Here is a 27684-nt window from a genome sequence, read left to right as displayed (position 1 = left end):
ACACCTTTTAAAAATCAAAAGCAGGATTTCTGAAACAGTTTCTACATAATGCTCAACTCTAAGCAAATGCACCCAATTCCATACTTACCCTTTTAGCTCTGTCTACGTTATCTCGGAAAGGGAAGAAGGCATCAGAGCTGATAGAAACTTCAGTCAGTTTCTCAACCCATTCCTTCTTCTCTGCCTCAGTGAGTAACTCAGGGACTTCCTCAAACAGTGCCTTCCACTTTATCAAATCTTCATCCTATGCGGGGAGAGAGAAAGGAAGAAGCTTGGTCTGACATCGTCTTTAGTTCTATGTGGTGCAAATCACCATGCCAGAAAGCACCTGGGCATTTTTCTTAGGACTTGTTTTTATTATTATTATTATTTTTTTTTTTTTAGACGGAGTTTTGCACTATCACCAGGCTGGAGTGCAGTGGTGCGATCTCGGCTCACCGCAACCTCCACCTCCCAGGTTCAAGCAATTCTCCTGCCTCAGCCTCCCAAGTACCTGGGACCACAAGTGCACACCACCACACCCAGCTAATTTTTGTATTTTTGGAGACAGAGTTTCACCATGTTGGCCAGGAGGGTCTCAATCTCTTGACCTCATGATCCACTCACCTCGGCCTCCCAAAGTGCTGGGATTATAGGCATGAGCCACCGCGCCCGGCCAGGATTTCTTAATTGTAAATAATGACCATTATTTACATGGAAGTTCACATATCTAGAATCTCTTTGATGCTTTTAGAAATATTTTCATTAAGGAAAAAAAGTGATTCTAAGTTTACCAAATAAAGATAATACCATTTTACTTTCCAAATCAGTTTATTCCAAGTACATATGTAATTTTTTTTATTTTTGGCTAAGCTACTTACATAAAAATACACTGTTTTAAAATCTCTAATTTAAATCTACTTCGTATCTACTACTTTATGTCTATTAGACTACCGTCTAATTTAAATCTACTGCTTTGGTACTACTGTAGCAAAGAAAGCAAATAAAAATTGTGTTCCAAGGGTTTTCAAAAAAACCCTCTATATCCAATCTAGGAAAGAGATGAGTAGTTCTTTAACTACATTTATACAAAAATTATTCTAAATGTAAAGGCAGTTGTAGACAAAACACAATTCATAATATTTGCTATGGTTTGAGTGTGTGTATCCACTCCAAAATTCATGTTGAAACTTAATCCCCAATGCAACAGTATTAAGAAGTATAAGGCCTTTAGAAAGTTATTGGGCAATGAGGGTGGGGCCCTCATGAATGGATTACAGACTTATAAAAGGGCTTCAGGGGAAGTATGCCCCTTCTGTGAAGTAAGGACACAGTGTTTGTCCTTTCCAGAGAGGGCTGTGCCATCTGGGAAGCAGAGGGTAGGCCTCCCCAGACTCTCAGCCCACCAGTACCTTGATCTGGGACTTCACAGCCTCCAGAACTATGAAAAATAAATGTCTATGGTTTATAAGTTACCCAGCCTGCAGTATTGTGTCATAGTGGCACAGACAGTTAATCATATTTTACAAGGTGCTTCTATCTTGGGTCATGTTTTAGCTTTGACATACTTTTATTCTTGTTCACTTCCAGGACTCTTTCAGGACTAGTAGCAGGGGTTGACTGGTAATATCAAACAGAAAAATCCAAGTATCAAAGTTGAAAAAAAAAAGATATCTTAAGGACTTCAGTTACATTCTGCAGCCTCACTCTTCAATGACACTTATGTTGATTCCTGCTCCTGAATAAAAAACTGAGGGTAGTCAATTGGCTCTTCAGAAGACCATCTAGTATTTGATTAGCAGCCTTCTGTTTTCCATCCAGCATTTTGTTAGGCACGCAATATGTCCAGAAACTGGGCTAGATCTTTTCTTCTGGCGGGCTACCTACCTAACGTTTGCGATTGTAATGTTCCCACATACCTTCTTCAAACAGAAGAACATGAAATGTAACAAAATGTATCAAGTTATTAATGGCACATGTAGAAAATGTGGTGGGAGAAGACCCCAGGGTTACCTGCCGTCAGGCAATTTGTATTTAATGTTGAATACAGACCCATCGGACAGCAAGCACCATGCATGACGTGGTGGCAGGCACCTCGACGTAGGTGAAAAGCAGTCCTTGTCATCAAAAGCTTATAATCAACAGGGGAAGTACAAATATACAAACCTACACCAAGGCTGCAATTTAAAAAGACAGAGGACTGTGGTTTCAGAAAGGGGTCAAAAACAATGAAGAAAGTTACATGAGACAGAAGAACATGAGAAATGTGTAAGAAGTTTCAATGATCAATTTTAGACAACATAGAATTTCAATGAAAGTATCTTTTTCTCTGTGTGGTGATGAAGTTAAAATCTGTTACACATAAAGGGTTGAACTGAATATTAACACAGCCGAGAACCCAATGCCAAGTCTTTCACCTCGCCAATGGTTCCAGTCACATATTGATCGATGGCATTGGAGATTTCTGCTCTCTTCACTCCTGTTTTAAACTTCATCGAAAGCACTTGTGGATGGTGTCTAAGCCACCAATAGTTTGCCTTATCTCCTGCAAGGCGAGTGCAGTGTATACGAGACTGCTGTCCTGCTCCAATGCCGATAACCTGAGGAACACAGACATTAAAGTGAACACCTCTTCCAAAGACACTTTCTTCTCAAAAGGATCTTTTGTGCACATTCTCCAAAACCTATTTATTAGTTTTGTGGAAGAACATATCAGGCCAAAATAAGAGAAATATAAATAATTTTTAAGTCATTAAAAGGGGTGGAGTAAGAGGTTTGTTTATAACTACTATTTATACCTCTTCAGTGATATGTGACATATGACTATTAATAATCTACAATTCAATAAAATTGATGGTTTGAGGTCAAAAAAAAAAAAAAGTTAAAATAAATGACCAATGCTGGGTGCACTGGCTCATGCCTGTAATCCCAGCACTTTGTGAGGTTAGGACAGAAGGATTGCTTGAGCTCAGGAGACCAGCCTGGGCAAGATGGCAACATCTCATCTCTACAAAAAATAAGAATTAAAAAATAGCTAGGGGTAGTGGCGCACACCTGCAGTCCCAGCTACTCAGGAGGCTGAAGTGGTAGGACCGCTTGAGGCCAGGAGTCGAAGGCTACAATGAGCTATGATCATGTCACTGTACTCTGGCCTGGGCAACAGAGCAAGACCCTGTCTCTATAAAAAATAAATAAATAAATAAATAAAACTAATGACCACAAAAATAACTATGGTTACTTGAAAGTCTTTTGTTTGCCCCAGTGTATAAATTACAGTTAAAATATCAACTCTCAGAAATTGAGATAAGGATCTGACATGGGTAGCTAAAAGTAGAAACAATTCCGCCAGGTACAAATGTTCTTCCTTCTTTCCTCTATTTCTATGGGTTGAATTCTAAGCAACAAGGACTTAAATGCACAGGTGTGTTTTCTGGTTTTAGTTCCTATAATGAACAGCCCCTAAGCTGTCTGCCCAACAGTCCATCTCTTTCTGAGCACAGCTGCTGGCAACCCTGCCCACAGCTACAAGAGAATAAAAGAGACCACAAATACCTGGGCAGCCGCCTCCTCCTCAACATCAGGAATGAAGCACTCATTCTACATGGACTTACAGAACTTCTTAGAACCTGACACCAGTAGACACAATCTCCCAGGAGTTTGTTACTACAGAGACTGGCAATCTGGGGTCTTCCAGGCCATAGGCTAATTCATATCCACCCACCTCCCTGTCACTTGTGGGCCAAATAATTTAACAAATGCCAAGAGATAAGCTCAGGACACCAGGTGAAGAAAAGGCTAGCAGAGACCTCAGAGATGAACCAGCTCCATCTTGTATTCTGAGGCTCGGGACACTAGGAAAGAAGTGTAATATCTTGCTTAACGTCACACAGTGAGAAATGTTTGGTATTTAATTGTGGCAGCGGTCACATACTGTGAAATTTGTGAAAACTGGTCAAACTGTACTTTAAAAAGGTGAATTCTACTGTATACAAATTATGCCTCAATGAACCTAACTTTTTAAAGATGAAGTTAACTCCTAGTCTAGCAGTCTTTCTACTCAGCAGATTCTTGATAAGACAACATAAGAAATAATGTGAAAATACCCTGCAGGCTGCAAAAATATAGGCTGGTGGGTGGCAGTACCGTAACTTACCTCCTCTTCCCTGGAAATAATACCAATGGGGGAAAAGGAAAGGAAATAATCCAGTTTTGTAACAGCTATTAGAGTCTCACTAATCCAAAATGTGCCAACCTATTCAAGGCAAGAAGCAGCACAACTACTTTGAGTACCTGGTTCCAAAGATATTTTCTGATCATCATTAGTTTTAACAGCCCACCAGGGTACTGAGGAAACACTGACAAACACAAAAGACAAACATTTGGCAAATATTCCCTTTCAAGCTGTCCAATATCTAAGGCAGACGGATGTTTAAATATCATTTCGTAAAACAACAGTCCCCCGAAGGCGAGTCCAACAGCCCACTTACCTGCCCGTTCTTGGCGTAGCACACAGAGTTAGACTGAGTGTACTTGACAGCAATGGTGGCTACGATGAGGTCTCGGAGGGCAGACTCTGGCAACTGAAACACATACACAATGGTAAATTGCATGGGGCCTTTTAAACTCATTTAACTTTAAGCTTCTTTTTTTAAATATTATTTTTTGTGGTTTTTTTGAGTCAGAGTCTCACTCTGTCTCCCAGGCACAATGGGACAATCTCCAACGGCACAATCTCGGCTCACTGTAACCTCCACCTCCCGGGTGCAAGAGATTCTCACACTTCAATTACAGGCGCATGCACCACCATGCCTGGCTAATTTTTGTATTTTTAGTAGAGATGGGGTTTCACCATGTTGGCCAGGCTGGTCTCGAACTCCTGAGCTCAAGTCATCTACGTGCCTCAGCCTCCCAGAGTGCCAGGATTACAACAGGTGTGAGCCACCACACCTGGCCAACTTTAAGTTTCTTAGTTCTATTTAATGTAAAAGACCTACAACATAGTTATACCACTCAAATGACAGAGGGAAATTAACTGTTCTCCTACACACTACCATGATTTACTTAAATATTTAACACATTTGGGGTGGAACTTAGCACAATGCATCCATAGACACAAACTCATGTTATTTTGTAGCAATTGTGGATTAAGCCTTTTTATATCACATGAGGTAAGAACTACCATATCCATTCCAAAACTGACAAACAATATTTTCTTGACCAGAGTACTTTTAAATATCTGGAGACATGGTAAAATTTACGTTCAGAACCAATGCGGAGAATTGTTTCATAGACATCACAAATCGTTATGATGCACACAGACAGCCAAGACTTTGGAAAAATCAAATTACGATCATTTTCTCTTTTGTTTAGAATAACTTAAGTTGAAACTGTTCAAAAACCATTAGGAATTACCAGTCCAAATAGAACAACAAGAATAACGCCCAAAAATATCACTATCTTTAGTATCAGGCATGAATACAAATGGAAAAGAAGGATGATAGTCCACGTCTGTATGCTAAATGGACAGAGGATATTTGCTACAGCCAACAGATAAGTTGATAAATTTGACTTCAGTAAAATTAAGAACTTTTCCTCTGTAAAAGATTCCTCATTAAAGAGGATGAAAAGACAAGCTACGAACTAGGAGAAAATTATTAACAAACCTCATATCCAACAACAAACTAGCACCTAAAACATAAAAAAACTTTAAAAACTCTGTAACAGGACAGGCGCAGTGGCACATGCCTGTAATCCTAGCACTTTGGGAGGCCAAGGCGGGTGGACCACCTGAGGTCAGAAGTTCCAGGCCAGCCTGACCAACATGGTGAACCCCATCTCTACTAAAAATATAAAAATTTGCCAGGTGTGGTGGCGCATTCCTGTAATCCCAGCTACTTGGGAAGCTGAGACAGGAGAACCACTTGAACCCGGGTGGTGGAGGCTGCAGTGAGACAAGATCATGCCACTGCACTCCAGTCTAGGTGACAGAGCGAGACTTCATCTCAAAACAAAACAAAAAAACTCAGTAACAATCAAAAATTTAATTAGAAAATGGGCAAAAGACAGACATTTTCACCAAAAAGGATACACATGTAGCAAATAAGTACACAAAAAAATGTTCAACATCATGAGCTATTATGCAAATTAAAATCAGTGAGAGATTGCTACACAACTATCCCATGTCTTTAAAAAAAAAAAAAAAGTAGCAATACCAAAAGCTAGTAAGGATGCAGAGACATTGGATCACTCATCCATTGCTGGTGGGAATACAAAATGGTACAAGCCACTCTGGAAAACAATTCAGCAGTTTCTTAGTAAACTAAACATGCAACTACCATACCACAAAGCAGTTAACAACCCTGGGCATTTATCAAAGAGAAATAAAAACTTACGTTTAGGCTGGGCACAGTGGCTCATGCCTGTAATCCCAGGCGGGTAGATCACCTGAGTCAGGAGTTCAAGACCAGCCTGACCAACATGGTGAAACCCCGTCTCTACTGAAAATACAAAGATTAGCCAGGTGTGGTGCCGCATGCCTGTAATCCCAGCTCCCTGGGAGGCTGAGGCAGGAGAATCGCTTGAACCCGGGAGGCGGAGATTGCAGTGAGCCAAGACCGAGCCATTGCACTCCAGCCTGGACAACAGAGTTGGACCCTGTTTCCCCAAAAGACAAAAACCTTATGCTCACACAAACACACAAAAACTGTACATGAATGCACGATGAATGAAAATTATAGAAAGGAAAAACAGATTTGTGGTTGCCCAAGGGTAAGGAGAGGGTGGAAGCCATATCAAGTGAGCCCGGCTACAGAAGAACATGAGGGATCACTGCAGTGTTGGAAATGCCCTGTGTCTTCAACTGTTATCAATGTCAATGGCATGGTTGTGGAACTGTACTGTAGTGTGACAAATGCTAGCATTAGGAGAAATAGGGTAACGGTTACATGGGAACTCTTACAACTGTATATGAATCTACAACTTTTATCTCAAAATTAAAAAGTTTAATTTAAAAAAAGCTATTAGGATTTCTTAAGAATTTATTACTCTAAGGTATTATTAATGTTATATATCTTTTATCTTTATCTGCTATTTGAGTCATCAACTATAAATCTGATTCCTCTGGTTCCCAGAAAACTTAGTAGCAAAAGCCAGCTTCATAGATGTCTAGACCTTCAAAGATAATCTTGGTGATACGGTTTGGCTGTGTCCCCACCTAAATCTCACCCTGAATTATAATAATCCCCATGTGTCAACAGGCAGGACTAGGTGGAGGTAACTGGATCATGGGGGCAGTTTCCCCCATGTAGTTCTCATGACAATGAATGAGTCTCATGAGATCTGACAGTAAGCGTCTGGCATTTCTCTCGCTTGCACTCATTCCCTCTCCTGCCGCCCTCTGAAGAGGTGCCTTCTGCCATGATTATAAGATTCCTGAGGCCTCCCCAACCGTGTGGAACTGTGAGTCAATTAAACCTCTTTTCTTTATAAATTGCCCAGTCTCAGGAATTTCTTCATAGCAGCGTGATAAAAACTAATACACTTGGCATCCTGGGTTGGGATCAAGGCATACGAGAAATGCCAGTGGACTGGGAGTAAGGGAATCCAGTCTTAGAAACATGCTACAAATAGTTAACACAATTAAAGCACTATTCAAGAAAAATGGGAGAAGAGGAAATAATTCAAACATGTTCAGTATTAATAAACATTCCATCCACCTGTCTGGCTCTCTCAGGACTGAAATGGTTCCAGACCTAATAATTCTGAGGCTGGAATGTTAACAAAAATCCACTTAAAAAGACGGGTAAAACAGAAAGGAGAACAAAGCTATCATTCTCTCATCCTTAAGTTTCCAAATTTCTACTAAGAATTCATATGAAGCAAGGAAAGAGTTTAGATAAACGATTAAGATCATACCTACCACTCTTATAAAAAATATCCAGAGGCACAAAACCTATCAAGATCACTAAATTATTAATGAATCCAATATCTACAAACCTTAGAAAAAAGACTCTCAGTAGCTAGGCACAATTCTCAACATGGTACCATGGAATCTAGGTCAATATCCATTCAGTATTTTTCAAAGTACATGAACCAACCAGAGTGGATTCCAAAGGGCTGAAAGATATTTCTATGTATAATGCCTACATGTTTCTTTACTTCAGGACACCATTAATTGTCAAAGATAGAAATGAAAGAATATCCATTAAATCAAACAAAAAAGATATGTTAATCGTCGTATGCTTATCAACAGACAGAACTCTCTGGATAAAGATTTTAAGGCTTATTTCCAGCAATTCTACTGAAAAGGCCTCAGGATTCAGACCTGGGAGCAAGCTGCAGCCCCTCATCTCCTTCTGTTACAGCAAATAGCTTAAGAGACCAATCCTCTTTTAGTAACAAACAGAAATGCTGGGCAGAGCGGACAGACAGCAAGTGCTAACAGACAAAGATCCCAGAGAAAATGGAAGCAGTAAGAAATGGGCCTGACAGTCTATGCTTTTCTCCTCAAGGCATTTTCCAAGTTGCATGCAATAAACTAAAGGTAAATTGGCTGAGCACAACTTTTGGCAGTCTTAGAGGACTAAGGGACAAAAGCCGAGTTCAGCGTACAGCAGTAGATACCTAGGGATTCAGGAGCAGGAATGAACCATGAACAGACCAGTCCTCACAAAGACTGAAGGCTAAATTCCTATTTAGCCTTTAGGAAGCTCAACAATTCCTGACAGAATGAAGATACCTCCTACACCTTATCTGCCCAAAAGAAGGACAAGTCAACTCTGGAGAGAAAAATAACACCATCCAGCCCTCAAAATATCGCTACAGTTTTTTCATACCCAATGCCTAGCACTCAATAAAAAATTCCAGGCTATCAGCCAGACAGACCAGAAAGCAATGGAATGATTCCTGCAAAGTACTGAACAACAAGCACAGCCTACTTTAGACCTAGGACAAACATCCTTCAAACTGAAGGCCCAATTAAGATACTCCAAAAAATAAATGTCAGCTTGTCCATTCTTTATTGTGTAACTCCGGTCAAATTTCTTAATTGTCCTTTATGGTACAATTTTGTGATCTTCACAATTGACACGATGGTAGTCACCCCCATAGAGTGACCTAAGTGTTAAATGAGATAATATATCCAAAACACAAAAATCACCATTATTATCCTAGGAACGTGTCCTTACTACAAGGTAACAAAGAGCACAAGCCCAAAAACTTGTCTATATAAAAACATTGATCATAGCACTGAAAATGTAAGCAATCTAAATATCCATCAGAAGATCCACGTTGCAGTGAGCTATGATCGCACCACTGCACTCCAGCCTGGGCAACAGAGCAAGCTTCAAAGGAATAAAAACATTCAAACAGAGCGAGCTTCAAAGGGATAAAAACATTCAAAAGTCTCTTAAAAAAAATAATAAAGGCTGGGCATGGTGGCTCACGCCTGTAACCCCAGCACTTTGGGAGGCTGAGGTGGGCAGATCACGAGGTTAGGAGATCGAGACCATCCTGGCTAACACAGTGAAACACCGTCTCTACTAAAAATACAAAAAAAATTAGCCAGGCGTTGTGGCGGGCGCCTGTAGTCCCAGCTACTTGGGAGGCTGAAGCAGGAGAATGGCGTGAACCCGGGAGGCGGAGCTTGCAGTGACCCGAGATCGCACCACTGCACTCCAGCCTGGGTGACAGAGCAAGACTCTGTCTCAGAAAAAATAAAATAAAAAAATAAATCAATCAATCAGGGTAAAAATAAGAACAATAAATATCCATCGTAGTACATCTACACATGGACTGACTGCCACATGGACTTTCAGATAAAGATATGAATATGCATTTATTTTCGAGATAGGATCTTGTTCTGTCACCCAGAGAGGAGTGCAGTGGCACAAACACGGCTCACTGCAGCCTTGATCTCCCAGACTCATGCAATCCTCTCACCTCAGCCTCTCGAGTAGCTGGACCTACAGGCGCAGCTACCACGCCAGGCTAATTTTTGTACTTTTTCTAGAGACAAGGTTTCACTACATGGTCAGGCTGGTCTTAAACTCCTGACCTCAAGAGAGCTGCCCCTTGGCCTACCAAAGTGTTGGGATTACAAATGTCAGCTACTGCACCCAGCATCTATATGTATTGATATAAAAACACATTTGTAGCCTAGCACATGGAAAAAAGCCAAGTTACAGGAGTCAGATTATGGAAGACATGATCCCATTTATACACAATTAAAGCTACTTATCTCTAGTGTGTACATATGCACAGAAGCTTCTAACATGGCCTTTGATTCATTTCTTAAACTCCAAAGCTTATGTGACAACTCAAAGATAAGCTAGCTAGCCGTGTGCATACAGACCAGTTCCAAATCCAGACCTTAATAAATGTAAAGCTCATTAAGTATTGAAAACAGACCAATGGAAGTTACTAGCAGTCAGTTCAGATACTTCCCAACTTACATCTTTATTTTTGGTAACAACATTGCTAAATAATGACTTGTCGACGACACCATTATTTCTCTTCTGGCTTAAATGAAGACCAAAGAGAGTTCGAACTTCATTTTCATCTGGTTTGTAAGATTGGTCCATCTAAAATACAAATTTTAAAAGTTAAAGTTAATCTCTCCACTTCCCTCAAATTTTTCATTTAATTTATATACAAAAGATTTCATTGTAAGTAAAGTTATATGCATGTTTCTAATTTTTTACAGTTTTCTAATTTTCTAATTTTTCTCACACAACAAATGATGTGTTAAATCATTCTGGTATGATACAATTCAACATTCTGGTATGATACAACAGCCAGGCGCTAATATTTTTCTCCAAAGTCTTTTATAGATTTTACTACCCAATAGTATTTTATAGATTTTACAACCTATATACAACATGTTAAAAAACAATGATTCCAGTGAGTGTATTTTTGGTTAAGTTACTACCTATATGGTTCTTTTGGAAGGTCAGCAGATAAAACAGATGTGCTAATTAAATAAGCAATGGCACAAAAATTAAATTCTAATTTTCCTTTCTAAAAATCTGTTACAAAATACCCAGCTAACCCAGGAATTGAAAGCTAAAAGTGAGAAAACAGGATTTGTAATCTGTGTCTTTGCTATTTGGAAGGAATTTGTATCATTTACTGCCATCTTCCTCTCCCAAATTTTGAGCCGAAAGAACATTAAGGTGTGTGGAACAATACGTGTAACACTACTCTCTCCCTGGATATTTTTTTAAACTTGACACTATTTCTTCTTTATGCTTTGGATGATCTTTGATTTAGAAAGCCCTGACATATAATTTATAAGCAAGACCCCGTAAATATTAGTTCTGTTTAATCTACATTTTCTTGAATTCTAAAATGTTCCTTTGTATTATGCACTATAAAATTTCTAAAATTGATATGCTCTCCTATTAACTGATGCTAGGAGAAACTTATCATTAGTCAGGTAGAGGGATAAGTTGTCTCATGCTTATAATCATGCGTCCAATGTGCAAACTAAGCCAAATTCTCAAATAAGTAAAATACCAATGAAGTCCTGATATTCCTTTGACACTCTCCAACTATCAGGTGTTAAAGAGATCAAGAAAATGACTCAGGTTTTGGAAAATATTTTCCATGATGCTACAAGAAAATGCTAATGGTTGTTAAGTACATAACACTCTTAACAACAACAACAAAAAAAAAACTTGATTAAGAAACTGGGGGCCAGGCGCGGTGGCTCACGCCTGTAATCCCAACACTTTGGGAGGCCGAGGCGGGCAGATCCCTTGAGGTCAGGAGTTTGAGACCAGCCTGGCCAACATGGTGAAACCCTGTCTCTACTAAAAATACAAAACTCAGCCAGGCCTGGTAGTACATGCCTGTAGTCCCAGGTACTTGGGAGGGTGAGGCAGGAAAATCGCTTGAACTCAGGAGGCAGAGGTTGCAGTGAGCCAAGATCACACCACTGCACTCTAGCCTGGGCAACAGACTGTCAAGTGGCTAAAAAAAAATAAGTATTAACTTTAATGTGGTATTCTCTTCTTTCCTTAAATAGCTGACATGGAATCTATGGTGAACTATAAAATTATTGGTATCTTACAATCAAAAGAATATACTTAATAACTTTCCTTGTAAGGAATTAGGATTCCACAGAGTTCTGATATCAATACTATGAAAAGTAGCATTAGGAATTTTTACTTTAAATTGAAATAACTCTTTGCTTTATCAATGCATAATCTTAGACCATGAGCTACTTTTCCCAATACAGAAGAGCTCATAAAAATCAGTTAAAAAAAAAAAAAAAGCCAACAACAACTTAGTAGAAAAATCATCAAAGAATATGGAAAGACAGTTCATAGAAAGGAATAAAAACATTCAAACATGAAAAGATGCTCATACCACACACAATGTTAAAACTACATTGAGATGCCATTTTCTAACTGCAGAGACTTTTTAAAAGTATAAAACCACAATGCTGACAAAAGTGTTGGGAAACAGGCATCCTTATATATTTCAGTTAGGACAATGAATTTGCCTACAACATCTAAAAGGGGCAGTATCAATTAAGATTACCAATATACATAGAGCTTGTTATTAAGCCTTAATTTCACTCTCAGGACTTTTCTAGGTTATTCACTGCAGGGGTATTTGTAGTAGCTAAAGATTGGTGACTGTCTAGGTAAGTTAAAATACACAGATACAGGACAAACTTCCAAGAAGGTGAAGCAGGGTGCACTTGTGTCAATAGGAAAATAGAAAAAGAAATGCACATGCAAATATTTGCTGAATACATAGACTATTTCAGGAAAGATAAGCAAGAAATTTAAAATAGTTATCTTTTCAAAAGGTAACAGAAGGATGGAGAGACTTTCCATTAAATATTGTTACTATTATTAGTATTTTAGAGACATGGTCTTACTACACTGCCAAGGCTGGAGTGCAGTCGTTATTCACAGGCATCATAGTACCACAATACAGCCTCCAATTCTTGGCCTCAAGCCATCCTCCCACATCAGCCTCTCAAGTGGCTGAAATTATAGGCATGAGCCATCACAACCAGCAAAAAGTTAAAATTGAGGGTAAGAAAGCTACTCTCATCTCAAAACCCCAAGTTAATAGTATTTTTTTAAATGCAGGATTGGGGAAAATAAACTATAATAAGGATAAACTAGAAGGGTATGAGTATAAAGGAAAGAGTAAACAAGGGAGAAAGAGACACAGAATAAAAGAGCAAATTACCGCTTCAAACATGAATTGCACTCACCTGAAGGACACAATAGTTTCCATTTTTCTTTTTGGAAAGTATTGTCAAGGCTTCTTCTTCATATCCTGGGGCAATTATACCATCAGATACCTGCAAAAATATTAAATTTTAATTTCTATTTTTAAAAATCAGAGAACACCTCTTAAAAAAATCTAGCAGCAATTATCAGTCTTAAATAATGTGGCAGCATATTCTGGTTTCTGCCTCCAACAAACAATGCTAACGCTATACTTGAAAAGAGAAATCTATTAGAATACAGCTTTCTGTATAGCAGATCCTAACTTTCTGTCCTCTCCAAGTTTTTGTTCGTTTCAGTTTAAACTAAGAAAATATGACTGATTTGCTCTTAACACATGTACCTCAGGAGGAAATATTTCTTCAGGGAGTGTTTTGAATGAGCAAGAGCACATTCTAGTCCTGACTCTCCTAGTACATGGTTAAATGACCTCTTCCGGCAAGGCGTTTTCCTTAACAGCAAGACCAGATTAAATCAGAGATTTGACATGACGAAAGATACAAATGTCACAGCCCTCCTGTAACCTGTAACCCAGGGATGGCAGTGGCCATGGAAAGAATCCTAAAGCAACAAAATAGTGCCAAGCCACATGCTCCTTCAGCCTTCACCTCTGCTTATTTTTTTCCCCTTTCTGAGCTATTTAATCTTTTTCTCTTTTCTTCCTGTCTTCCTACTACCAACAGTACCCCCACCTGTCTGGAATACCTGTTTGGTATTCAACTGATGGGGTAAGTTTATTAATGTAGTTTCTGTTTTTTACCCACTATGCAGTAAGATGGATTATATCGCATCACCACCTAAAATTACAACTTCTGCTCTTCAGAAACAGTAACTTTGGCATGAAGACAACAAAGAATTTAAAATAAATATATAAGTAAAAAACATCATAACAGCCAAATATCCATCTGAAACAATAATTCACTACATTTCAAAATTAACAATTTAAGATTAATGTTCTATTTAAAATATGAACATTAAATGATAAACTTAGCTAATTAAAAGATATTATAAATATAAATATTATAGGTTATGGTTTCAATTAACATTATGAACAAATAAAGCTTTATTCAACACACAGATTAAGATACATGAATGTCCACTAACTTCTCTGGAAATAATTTTTGCAGTTGGTACATCACAAACATCGGACAATGCAACAAAATCACCAAATGAAGACATCCTATCAGCCCCTGTAAATAAAATTAAAATGAGGTATTTATCACAAAGTATCCTGATACAGAAAAAGTAATAAAATTCTCCACTGTCATATAAAATTCATTACTCTAAAGCTAATCTTACTGTTTACATAAGATTTTAACAGATCAATAAGTCATTTAACTGAAGTAACCAGTAAGAAAGTATTCTTTAATTTTACCCTCTAGAGTGACACTCAGAAAACTTTTTCTGTGAAGGACCAATTTATATATACTATATTCACAAAAACAGGGTGGCAGGCTGGATTCAGCTGAAGTTGCTGACCACTGCTGTAGATGATAAACTATGGTAATAGTTTCTCAAGAACTTTCAGAAATACTAAAGGGATATTCATGGGTTATTAAATTCAACAAGTAAATGTCTCTGATAAAACATGACTCTAACCAAATGTAGTAAAGTTAGAAGAGCCATAAATCACGCCTGTAATCCCAGCCCTCTGGGAGGCTGAGGCAGGTGAATCACTTGAGGTCAGGAGCTCAAGACCAGCCTGGCCAACATGGTGAAACCATGTCTCTACTAAAAATACAAAAAAATTAGCCAGGTGTGGTGGCACGCACCTGTAATCCCAGCTACTCAGGACGCTGAGGCAGGAGAATCGCTTGAACCCAGGAGGTGGAGGTTGCAGTGAGCTGAGATGGCGCCACTGCACTCCAGCCTGGGCAACAGAGCAAGAAGCTGTCTCAAAAAAAAAAAAAAAAAAAAAAGAATAGCTTTTTGTAATTTCAATTTTGGTCACATATTAAACAATAACAAATGCATTCAATAGCCTAAATTAGCAAAATTACATTGACCAAATTCCAATTGTGTTTCCATTTATTACACTAAAATACTAACAAATACTTTTTTTTTTTTGAGACGGAGTATCGCTCTGTCACCCAGGCTGGAGTGCACTGGCGCTATCTTGGCTCACTGCAAGTTCCACCTGCCGGGTTCACACCATTCTCCTGCCTCAGCCTCCTGAGTACCTGGGACTACAGGTACCCCCCACCACGCCCAGCTAATTTTTTGTATTTTTAGTAGAGACGGGGTTTCACCGTGTTAGCCAGGATGGTCTCGATCTCCTGACCTCGTGATCTGCCCGCCTCAGCCTCCCAAAGTCCTGGTACTACAGGCGTGAGACATTGCGCCCGGCCTAAAATACTAACATACACTTTTATAAAGAAATGTATTTTGAGGTACTCACAGAATCAATCTCAAATATTAATAAAACAAATTAAATAGGAAATCCTATAATGAAACAAAGGGTATTTTACTTTAATCAAACTATATTATATAGAATAACTGTATATTTACATAGAGATAGAAGTCCTTAATTTCATCTATATATTATACAGAATATCTATATATTTTTTCTTTATTCTATCCTCTTTATTCTATTTAGGATAAAATATTGCTTTTTCTTTCTCCCCCAAATCAAAAAGCCCTATGAGTCTGACCTCTTGCTCTTGCATATGCCGCTGAGATGGGTGTGAGGGTTTTATAGAGATCATAAACCATGCAGACTTTGGCCTCATCTTCACTGAGTGGAATTCCAACAGCAGCACCTGGTTAGAAAATAGTAAAATCATAAACAAAGAAAGCTAAAGTTACTACCTGTCAACTCCTAAATCAAGACAGTTTTCTTAACACCCAGTCTACGCAGCACATTTTCTAGTGCCTGTGCTAAATTAAACAGAAATCTATTTAGCCAGATAATTATACACTAAAAATATGGTTGTGGGAGCAGTGTGAGGGAAATCTCCTCTCTGCCCTCCAAAACCACAGAGCCACTGAAGCCTGACAGTACCCAGCGTGTAGGTGAAGCTCGTTTACTTCATTACTGACTCACTCTTTCTCTCTGTTCTGCTTGATATCACTTTGATATCACACATCATTTATTTCTTCCCCACTCACATCACTTTAACACCCAATAAACACCTGAGAACAAATCATGTGCTGGAGGACTGTCAGCAAGATGTGGTGTACAGACAACTCAATTGCGGAGTTCATGATTTAAACACAGAAGCAAAGTATCTCATACAACGACTATAAGAAGTTTCAGATAAAGAGTCCAAAGAAGAACTTCTTTATGTTTACTCCATTACATTTTCAAAGATGTGGCACAAGACTTAGTCTATTGCATTAGGACATTTCACTTTTATTTTCTAAACTTTTATGGTTCCACCCCACAAACAAATTCCTGCCTCATTTTCCTGACAATATTACACAATTCTGTGTGTGTGTGTGTATCAGATTTTATATTATTACATTGATACTGTTATCAACAGATGACTTTCAGATTTCATAGCATGTCTATATTCACATTAGAACTTGTTAATATTCAAAAAAATTTAAGAAGAAATGCCTTTCGAACAATTCTGGAGCTTTCCAGAGCACAGAGCTTTACCTGCTGGGCTGACATGTTTGAAAGAGGCAGCGGCTGGAATACCTAAAGCCTCCTTGAGTTCCTTCACCAGCTGCCAGGCGTTCAAAGCATCGCACAAGTTTATAAATCCAGGGGCTCCATTTAGAACTAAATGTAAAAATATACATGCACATTACTAAGCAGGATCAGTAAGGTCAGATGTATGCACACTTCTCAAAAAAATAACATGACTAAACAAATGTTTTAAGTATAATTAAGAGCCAAACAGATACACACAAACATAAAATCTTGATGATAAAGAACAAAGCAACTGAGCCTGAGCCCATCTTTAAAAAAAATGCACATGTACATGAACACACACACACACACACACACACACACACACACACACACACACGACTGGAGGACCAGAACCAGCCAGTCTAGAAATAAATCCACAATAAGAGATTTAGGGATGGGAGAAACTATGACAAGACTAGTGATCAGTCAGGAATTCATGTAAATACAGAACTAAGATTAAACAATTGAGGTAATCACAGAGACAGTACAAAATTAAAGTTATAAACCCTATCGATGTAAGAAATTATATTACAAGCTAAAGCAACAGCTGTGGGTGGAAGAAGAGAAGAAATAATGTGTTTTTTCTTTCTTCTTTGATGGCAAACTCAACAGACTCTGCCTAAAGCAGAACTGTAGTTAAAAGGAGACTGCAACTTCAGAGTTTTCCATTACCTAGTTTCTCAACACTGGCAGATTTTTTTAGGAGCTAGTATCTCTTGTGAATAAACATAAGAAGTTCAGCACACAGAAAGAAATGGTGGGCCAGCACTAATTAAAAACAAAAATGAGCCGGGTACAATGGCTCACCCCCATGACCCCAGCACTTTGGGAGGCCGAGGTGGGTGGATCACAAGGTCAGGAGTTCGAGATCAGCCTGGTCAACATGGTGAAACCCCCGTCTCTACTAAAAACACAAAAATTAGCTGGGTGTGGTGGCGGGCGCATGTAATCCCAGCTACTAGGGAGGCTGAGGCAGGAGAATCGCTTGAACCTGGAAGGTGGAGGTTGTAGTGAGCCGAAACCGCGCCACTGCACTCCAGCCTGGCCAACAAGAGCGAGACTCCGTCTCAAAAAAAAAAAAAAAAAACCCAAAAAACAAAAATGTGTAATTTCATGTCCTTCATGGGTTAAGATAGTTTTTAAAGACCTTGCCAAATATTTACTGAGTTGCCTACTACGATGTTAAGCACTGTTCTAGGTATTCAGGATACATCAGTGAAAAAAACCGTCCCTGCAACCCTCTTAAAAAAAAGTCACTGTCCTTATGGAGCTTACTGGGGAGGCAAATAAAAAATAGGCAATAAATAGTATACAATAAAAGAAAATATTAGGTATTTATCAAAATGAGTTGAAAACTTGCACACAAATGATTATAGCAATTTTGTTCATAAACTACCAAAAACTGTCCTTGAAGTTTTGATGCCCTTCAATATGTCCATGGATAAACTGTGGTACATTCATACACAGTGAAATATTATTCAGCATTAAGAAATAAGCTACCAACCCACAAAAAGATGTGGAAGAAACTTAATGCATGTTGTTAACTGAAAGTGCCTAAAAGGGCTCCATACTGTATGATCCCAACTATCTGACATTCTGGAAATGGGTACAGAGTCAGTAAAAACAGCTGGGCATGGTGGTGCATGCCTGTAATCCCAGCTACTTGAGAGGCCAAGGCGGAAGGACTGCTTGAGTCCCAGGATATCAAAACCAGCTCAGACAACATAGCAAGACTCCATTCCAAAAAAAAAAAAAAGAAAAGAGAAAAAGATAACAGTGGTTGCAAAGGGTTGGGGAGAAGGGAAAGGAGGGATGAGGCGGAGGAGCACAAGGGAGTTTTAGGGCATTGAAACTATTCTGCATGATACTGTAATGGGGGAGACATGCCACTGTGCATTTTTCCAAATACACAGAATGTACAACACAAAGAATGAATGTTAAACTATGAACCTTGGTTAATAATGAATCAAAATCGGTTCATCAGTTGTAACAAATACACCACACTAATGCATGATGTTAACAGGAGAAACTGCGGGGAAGCGGGGTATATGGAAATTCCCTATAATCACCGTGTATTTTTTCTGTAAACCTGTAACTACTCTAAAAAAATAAAGCCCGTTTTAAAAAGAACTTGAAAAAATAATTCCCCCAACCAAAAATCAAGTCAAATAAAATCACTGTCCTCATGAAATTTATGCGAGAGGCACAGAAGAAAACAAACTAGGCAATAAATAGTAAACAATAGAAGTAAAATATCCCCTAAGGCATACAACAGGCATAATAAAACAAAACACCATATGTACAACTCCCCCATCTCCCTCCCACTCCTCATAGATGGTTTAGGCTAAGGTTGATAAGTGGGAGAAAACTTTTGGTTTCTGAAACATCTCATAGTTAAGCGTATCTGGATGGGTGCGGTGGCTCATGCCTGTAATCCCCAACACTTTGGGAGGCCAAGGTGGGTGGATCACCTGAGGTTGGGAGTTTCAGACTGGTCTGGCCAATATGGTGAAACTCTGTCTTTACTAAAAATACAAAAATTAGCTGGGCCTGGTGGTACATGCCTGTAATCCCAACTACTCAGGAGGCTGAGGCAGGAGATCACTTGAACCTGGGAGGCGGAGGTTGTGGTGAGCCGAGATCATGCCACTGCACTCCAGCCTGGGCGACAGAGCAAGACTCTGCCTCAAAAAAAAAAGAGTATCCGGTTCCCCTTCAAATATCAAATTTTCAAAGACATTAATAACTGAAATAGAAAGTGCCAGAGAAATGCTGAAAGTTGCTTAATCTAGTAAATAGCTGAAATAAATAGGAATTTTCTTCTTTCCAATCATAAGCAAACCAGTCATTAAAATCTCAGACACATACACACACTCACACAACCCCATCTTTGTTCTTGCTTCAATTTTGTTTTAGATACAATCGCAACCATACACTCTGTAATAACATCACTGCCAAATACTCAAACCACATGAAAAGGCAAAGTGCCTTTTCTATTGTGGAAATAAGCCCATGTTGGGGAGAAATCCTGGGAATCTCGCACAAGAAACGCTTATTTACGTGTCCAGGGCCGCCTCTGCCATGTTTACCACAAATAATACTTTAAACTTCAAAAGAAACGCACACACAGTCTAAGGAACAATGAAGGCTTTTATATAGTCCAATGAAAATGCTTTGGAAAATGAAAAGTATAAGAACTGACAGTACATGGGGATTTTTTTGTCTCAGAATCTTAATGGAGAATATAAACTATAAGCAGGAAATAGGTCAGATATAACAGCAGACAAATCAGTTTCAAGAAGTCCTACAAGGAAAAATTTGTGCAAAATGTCAGGTTGCTAATTATTCATTCAGTAAACATTTAGGGAATGTGCCAAGCAGTCTTCTAAGCCCTGGGGATTCAGCGACAAACAAAAACAGATGCAGCTTCTGCTCTCAAAAGCTGACATCCTGGCTGGGCGCTGTGGCTCATGCCTGTAATCCCAGCACTTTGGGAGGCCGAGGCAGGCAGATCACCTGAGGTCAGGAGTTCAAAACCAGCCTGGCCAACGTGGTGAAACCCTATCTCTACTAAAAATACAAAATTAGCCAGGTGTGGTGGCAGGCGCCTGTAGTCCCAGCTACTTGAGAGGCCGAGGCAGGAGAATCACTTCAACCCGGGAGGTGGAGTTTGCAGCGAGCCAAGATCGCACCACTGCACTCCAGCCTGGGCGAAAAGAGTGAAACTCTATCTCAAAAAAAAAAAAAAAAGGAAGCTGCCATCCTAATGGGGGAAGACAATTTGAACAGATTGAATAGAAACACATGCAGCAAAACAGGGTGATGGGATGAAAGCATGATGGGCTGCTACTTTGGTCTAAGCGGTCAAGGAAGGCTTCTCTGAGGAGGTGAGGCCTGAATAACAAGAAACCAGGACGGTGAAGGGCAGAGGGAAGAATTCTGGGTGAAGGGGACAAGGAGCCAGAGGCGCTGGAGTGGAAAGAGCTGGGCCCACTTGGAGGCACAGGGCGGAGGGGCTAGCAGCAGGCGCAGGGAGAGCTGCTGAGGGGGCAGATAGGAGGCAGGCAGGCAGCACAGGGTTTGTGGGGCAGGGCAAAGTGCTTAAGAAAAGCCAAGGAATGGCTTTAAGTAGGGTCTGACATCATCCGATTTCCATTTTTAAAAGATTACTGTGCTGTGAAGCCCAGAAAGGCCGAGAGAAAACAAATTACTTAGATTACTTCAGCCTACAGGACTTCACAGGGTGTCTGTGGGGATTTGGGAAGTGTTAGTGTCAAAGTGTATCTGAGATCTGAGGCCAGGTGTGGTGGCTCACGCCTGTAATCCCAGCACTCTGGGAGGCTGAGATAGGCAGATAACTTGAGGTCAGGAGTTTGAGACCAGCCTGGCCAACATGGTGAAACCCCATCTCTACTAAAAACAGAAAAACTAGCCAGGCATTGTGGTGCGCACCTGTAATCCCAGCTACTCAGGAGGCTGAGGCAGGAGAATCGCTTGAACCAGAGATTGCGCCACTGCACTCCAGCCTGGGTGACAGAGCGAGACTCCGTTGTCTTAATTTAAAAAAAAAAAAAAAAAATCTATCTGAGGCAGAACAATAGAACGCGGCAAACGTGAAGAAACTTTCAGATTCTCCTCCCACCTGGCACGCTGCTCCCCTCCCCCATCGCTCTCTCAGCTGATGACAGGGAAAGGAAGCCCAGGCTGCACCCCCTCACCAAATGCTGACCGCCCCAGGCAGGAAGGAGGCTGCCCTTGCTCTCAGCCAAGGCCAGCTGCACCGGTAGTGCTTGGGATTCCAAGGCCTCCATGCCTGGGACTCTCACCTCTGTCCCTGCCCCTACTCTCCCTTGTACCAGAGCAGGACAGGCTCTCACAGCCTACCTTTGGAACAGAACAGGACACACATTTAAAAACCCTCTCTAAACTCTACAAACCCAGAGAAAGTCCTACTTTCTTGTTCCAAGAAACCTCTTTATCGTTGTTAGTTCTTAACATCACATTTCTGCTTTGGCCTACTTCAATTGGGCTTCTAGATCCAATATTCCAAGGCAACGGCTTCTTACAATATGTGCAAAACAAACAGTCCCTTTTCTGTTCTCAAATGCATTCTAAAAGGTTGGAATTTCACAACTTTTCTTCTGCTGGTTCCTCCACAGTACACCTACCAAGCCTTTACCCCAAGGCTTTCTTGACCCTCTTCTCTATAAAATCCAGGCCATCCCATCCTGTCTCATGTCTTCAAAAAGATCTACGTGGCAGAGACATTCCAATCTCCATCTCCCCCATGACATCTTTTCAGAACTCCAGACTACTCAACTTCTGTGCTCTTCAGTCCAAATGGCGTCTCAAACCAGATGGTTATCAGATGGCTACAGGAGGCATTACGGAATGTATCATCTTCTGAATGTGAACCACATCAGATGCAATACAGAGAAACACACACTCTCCAGGCACAGCAAACCATGCCACAGAACGCTCGGGCTTTACCTGTGATGGGAAGCTTGGGCTGCAGTGTGTACAGCTGGGCAGGGGTCTGATGTGGGTTCATTCCATATCTCAAGGGCATCTGAGATACGCCTTTGCTGTACTGTTTCCTGAAATAATCTGAAATTGCTTCATCATATTGTGCCGTATGAGTGAATGCCTACAAAAAGCGTAAGTTTTGTGAGACACGAGCAGCACTTTCCAAAGTGGGGACAAGATGGTTTTCTACGTCCACAGCAAACAACATCTCCTCACTATTCAGTGCTATGTGGTGGCTGCACAACACGATGACACCATGAATGACAGCAAAGCACTGAATGGCCCAACAAATTACCCCTTTCCAATTCTTTTTCAATCTTTTTTTTTTTTTTTGAGACAAAGTCTCACTCTGCTGCCCAGGCTAGAGTGCAGTGGTGTGATGTCAGCTTACTGCAACTTCCACCTCCTGGGTTCAAGCGATTCTCCTGCCTCAGTCTCCCGAGTAGCTGGGATTACAGGCGTACCACACCACACCACACTCGGCTAATTTTTGTATTTTCAGTAGAGACAGGGTTTCACCACATTGGCCAGGCTGGTCTCAAACTCCTGACCTCAGGTGATCCGCCCGCCTCGGCCTCCCAAAGTGCTAGGATTACAGGCGTGAGCCACCGCGCCCAGCTCTCTTTCAATCTTTTTGACAGAACACCTCTGTAATAGCTGGTTTCTCCATTTTTAACAAAAGGATAGCAGCTCCAAGCAAAGCTTTGGTAGGTAATGCAATCTACCAAGAACTGAATACTGCTTGGTCTGGCAAACACTGCACTCCATGGATGTAACTTACAATATCATGAAAGTGCATCCCACCTTCAAGGCTAACTGGCGTCTAGTCTCCAAGGAGGTGTCCTTACTCTCGGAGCTCTGCATCTCCGTGGACACCACCACATAGTCCTCTGGTTCACACACCACTGTCACTCGAGCGTGGTTTTTGGCTGCAGCTCTCAGTAAGGTTACTCCACCTTTGAAGAACAAAAGACTTATTGATTTTTGTATGTCCCTATCAGCTTATGAACCGCTTTTAAATAAAGTCATTGTGCATGTACTTCCATTTTAATTCCTGACTTAAAAATCAGGAAAATAAGCTGGGCGCAGTGGCTCATGCCTGGAATCCCAGCACTTTGGGAGGCTGAGGCAGGTGGATCACCTGAGGTCAGGAGTTCGAGACCACTCTGGCCAACATGGCGAAATTCCATCTCTATAAAAAATACAAAAAAAATTAGCCAGGCGTGGTGGTGTGCACCTGTAATCCCAGCTACTCAGGAGGCTGAGGCAAGAGAATCACTTGAGCCCAGGAGGCAGAGGTTGCAGTCAGCCAAAACTGTGCCACTGTACTCCAGCCTGGGTGACACAGCAAGACTTCATCTCAAAAAAATAAAAATAAAATAAATAAATAAATAAATCAGGAAAATAACCCAGATGCATCTCTGCATACAAAAAAAGCTTAGAAAATATAAATGAAAAAAAGAAAATATAAATGAATTATAGTAATCCCAAAACACAATCCAGAAGTAGCTATTTTCTTTCTATTTCCTCAGTAATAAAATTCAAAATGAAATCTCACTAAAATTTAAATAATCCTCTCCTCTCAGTCTTCTAAAATGGTTTTTCTGACTTACCAATGTCAATTTGCTCCACAGCCTCCTCAACAGTTACACCTGGAGAAGCCACTGTCTTTACAAAGGGATAGAGATTGCAGGCAACAACTCTATAAAACAAAGACGAATCTGGCTGTCATTAAAAAGTCCACTCATGTGGTTTACAGCTATCTAGGAAAAAAACAAGTCAGTACTATTAACGTAAACAAAAGCCATAGAGAACTAATATATAAACTGTGAGCCTGACATTTTAGAATTCTAACGAGTGTGTTAAAAAGTCAGGGTGTCCTGCTGGGGTCGAGCAGAGGTAATTTAGTCAGCAGGTGCTCCCCGGATCTGAATACACAGTACTCCCTCCACGTCACACTGCAACGCTGCTGCTTGCATAACCTTAGCTACCCAGAACCACCAAGCCATGAAAAATTTATAGAACATTTTAATAGAAGTATAAAGTACAAGATTACAGATAACATTCTCATTTTGGAATGTGATCACTATTATCCAGAACATTAGAATTTAGATTCTTTTTCCAGTGGATTGGCACAATGATGAAAAATATCAGAGCATTCTAAGGGTGAAACATTTGTTTTGCCTTCAGAGAGGTCATAAAAATGATGGTAACAGGAATGCCAAAAGAATAATTTAAAATACAGAAGTAATCTAAAATTAACAATCAGTGAAGTACAGTTCCACTCCTAGGCCTGTAGTGCGAGGAGCTCTACGGGCAGGCTCCAAACAAGCCTAACTGCTGAAAACTAATTAAAAAAAACAAAAACAAAAACAGAAGAACAGAATTGGAGGGGAAACATTTTGCAGCTCATCTTTATTAAGTCTACTGCCCTCCTACTAAAACCAGACAAATGTCACAAGAAAACTAGAGACCAGTATCTCTTAGGTATCTTCACACAAAAACTCTCAACAAAACACTAACAAACTGAATCCAGAAAAATGCAAAAACCACCTGATCATCTCAATAGATGTACAAAAAGGATCTGACACAATTCAACAGGTATTCATATAGAAACACTCAGCAAATTAAAAATAGAAGGGAACTTACTGAACATGACAAAGTGTAAGAAAAACCCACAGCTAACATCATACTTGATGGTGAAAGACTAAAATACTTGTCTACTCAACTCAGAAACAAGACAAGAGGCCAGGCGCAGTGGCTCATGCCTATAATCCCAGCACTTTGGGAGGCTGAGCCAGGCAGATCACCTGAGGTCAGAAGTTCGAGACCAGCGTGGCCAATATGGTAAAACCCCATCTCTACTAAAAATACAAAAATTAGCCGGGCAAGGTGGCGCACGCCTGCAATCCCAGCACTTTGGGAGGCTCAGGAGGATGGATCAACTGAGGTTGGAAGTTCAAGACCAGCCTGACCAACATGGAGAAACCCCATCTCTACTAAAAATACAAAATTAGCCAGGCAAGGTGGCACATGCCTGTAACCCCAGGCTGAAGCAAGATAATCACTTAAACCCGGGAGGCGGAGGTCACAGTGAGCCAAGATCACGCAACTGCACTCCGCCTTGGGCAACAAGAGCAAAACGCCATCTTAAAAAAAAGAAACAAAACAATAATGTCCATTCTTACCACTTCTACTGAACACTGTACTAGAAGTTCTAGCCAGAGCAATTAGCAAAGAAAAGAAAATAAAAGGCATCAGGACTGGAAAGAAAGCAGTGAAGTTATATCTATTTGCAGATGATACCACCTAGTATACAGAAAATCCCAAATTCACAAAAATAACCTTTTAGCACTAATAAATGAGTTCAGCAAAGCCGCAGGATATATGATCAATATATAAAAATCAATTGTATTAAAATATACATTAGCAGTGAATGAGAAAAAAATTAAGAAAACAATTCTACTTCACAAGACAATGTTAAAGAAATTAAAGACACCCCATGTTCACAGACTGGAAGATTTAATATTCTTAGGATGGTAACATTTCCCAAATTGATCTACAGATTCAACACAATACCTATGAAAATTCCAACTGCGTTGTTTTGCAGAAATGGACAAGCTGATTCTAAAAATCATGTGGAAATGCAAGGGACTCTGAAGAGTCAAAGTCATCTTGAATAAAAAAAACGAAGTTGGGGCCGGGCGCAGTGGCTCACGCCTGTAATCCTAGCACTTTGGGAGGCCGAGGCGGGCGGATCACGAGGTCAGGAGATCGAGACCATCCTGGCGAACACGGTGAAACCCTGTCTCTACTAAAAATACAAAAAAATTAGCTGCGCATGGTAGCGGGCGCCTATAGTCCCAGCTACTCGGGAGGCTGAGGCAGGAGAAGGGCGTGAACCCGGGAGGCAGAGCTTGCAGTGAGCCAAGATCGCGCCACTGCACTCCAGCCTGGGCAACAGAGCCAGACTCCGTCTCAAAAACAAAACAAAACAAAACAAACAAACAAACAAAAAACAGAAAAATGAAGTTGGAGGACTCACACTTGCTGATTTCAAAATTTGTTACCAGCCTATAGTAATAGTGTAGTACTGGCATAACAGCAGGCACATGGACCAAGGGTGCCAAGACCATTCGATTGGGCAAAGAACAGTCTTTTCAACAAATGATGCTGAGACAACTAGACAGCCACATACAAAATAAAATAAGACTTCTATTTCATGTCTGTATATGAAAATTAACTTAAAATGAACCAAAGACTTAAGTATAAGAGCTAACACTAAAATAACTCTTAAAAGAAATGTACACACGCCGGGTGCGGTGGCTCACACTTGTAATCCCAGCACTTTGGGAGACCGAGGCAGGTGGATCACCTGAGGTCAGGAGTTCAAGACCAGCCTGGCCAACATGGAGAAACCCCGTCTCTACTAAAAACACAAAAAAATTAGCTGGGCGTGGTGGCGGGCACCTGTAATCACAGCTACTTGCGAGGCTGAGGCATGAGAATCGCTTGAACCCAGGAGGCGAAGGTTGCAGTGAGCCGAGATCACGCCACTGCACTCCAGCCTGGGCAACAAGAGCGAAACTCCATCTCAAAAAAAAAAAAAAAAAGAAAGAAAATATACACAAAAATCTTCATCACTGAGGATTAGGCAATGGTTTCTTAGACATGACACCATTAACACAAGCAACAAAAGAAAAAATAAATTCAACATCATCAAAATTAAAAACTTTTGTGGGCCGGGCATGGTGGCTCAAGCCTGTAATCCCAGCACTTTGGGAGGCCAAGGCGGGCAGATAACCCGAGGTCAGGAATTCAAGACCAACCTGGCCAACATAGTGAAACCCTATCTCTATTAAAAATCCAAAAAAATTAGCCAAGTGTGGTGGCGGGCACCTGTAACCCCAGCTACTCATGAGACTGAGGCAGAATCGCTTGAATCCGGGAGGTGGAGGTTGCAGTGAGCCAAGATGACGCCACTGTGCTCCAGCCTGGGCGAGAGTAAGACTCCGTCTCAAAAAAAAGAAAAAACTTGTGATGATCAAAGGAAACCATCAAGAAAGGCTAACACAATCCATAGAATGAGAGGAAATAAACTTACAACTCAATAATAAACAGATAAATACCTCAACTAAAAATGGACAAGAGGTCTCAACAGACATTTCTCCAAAGGAGGTAAACAACTGGCTAGGAAGCACATCCAACGGTGTTCCACATTATTTGGAAAGCAAATTATAACCACAATGAGATGCCACTTCAGAACCCCTAGAATGACTAGAATCAAAA

The 27684-nt window shown here is 40.3% G+C and overlaps 1 protein-coding gene across 7 annotated transcripts in view; it reads right to left on the bottom strand.

Annotated features, from left to right (window-relative positions):
• The window catches only part of ATIC (5-aminoimidazole-4-carboxamide ribonucleotide formyltransferase/IMP cyclohydrolase), a 56534-nt gene that overhangs the window by 19255 nt on the left and 9595 nt on the right, over positions 1-27684 (bottom strand). For all 7 annotated transcript variants that reach the window (XR_007075419.1, XR_007075418.1, XM_047444489.1 and 4 more), the window contains exons 5-15: positions 24009-24097; positions 23200-23351; positions 22360-22516; positions 16831-16956; positions 15881-15988; positions 14334-14419; positions 13214-13303; positions 10431-10559; positions 4467-4559; positions 2397-2579; positions 89-244 (exon numbers count right to left, since the gene is read on the bottom strand). Coding sequence is in view for 5 of the 7 variants with exons in the window: in XM_047444489.1 (XP_047300445.1) it covers positions 89-244; positions 2397-2579; positions 4467-4559; positions 10431-10559; positions 13214-13303; positions 14334-14419; positions 15881-15988; positions 16831-16956; positions 22360-22516; positions 23200-23351; positions 24009-24097 (1369 nt within the window). In the remaining 2 variants the exon portion in view is untranslated. The remainder of the gene's footprint in view (positions 1-88; positions 245-2396; positions 2580-4466; positions 4560-10430; positions 10560-13213; positions 13304-14333; positions 14420-15880; positions 15989-16830; positions 16957-22359; positions 22517-23199; positions 23352-24008; positions 24098-27684) is intronic.

Source organism: Homo sapiens, chromosome 2, assembly GCF_000001405.40.
Source record: "Homo sapiens chromosome 2, GRCh38.p14 Primary Assembly".
Lineage (NCBI taxonomy): Eukaryota > Metazoa > Chordata > Mammalia > Primates > Hominidae > Homo > Homo sapiens.
Note: the sequence above shows the minus strand (reverse complement) of the source record. Positions and strands in the feature narration are given on the sequence as shown.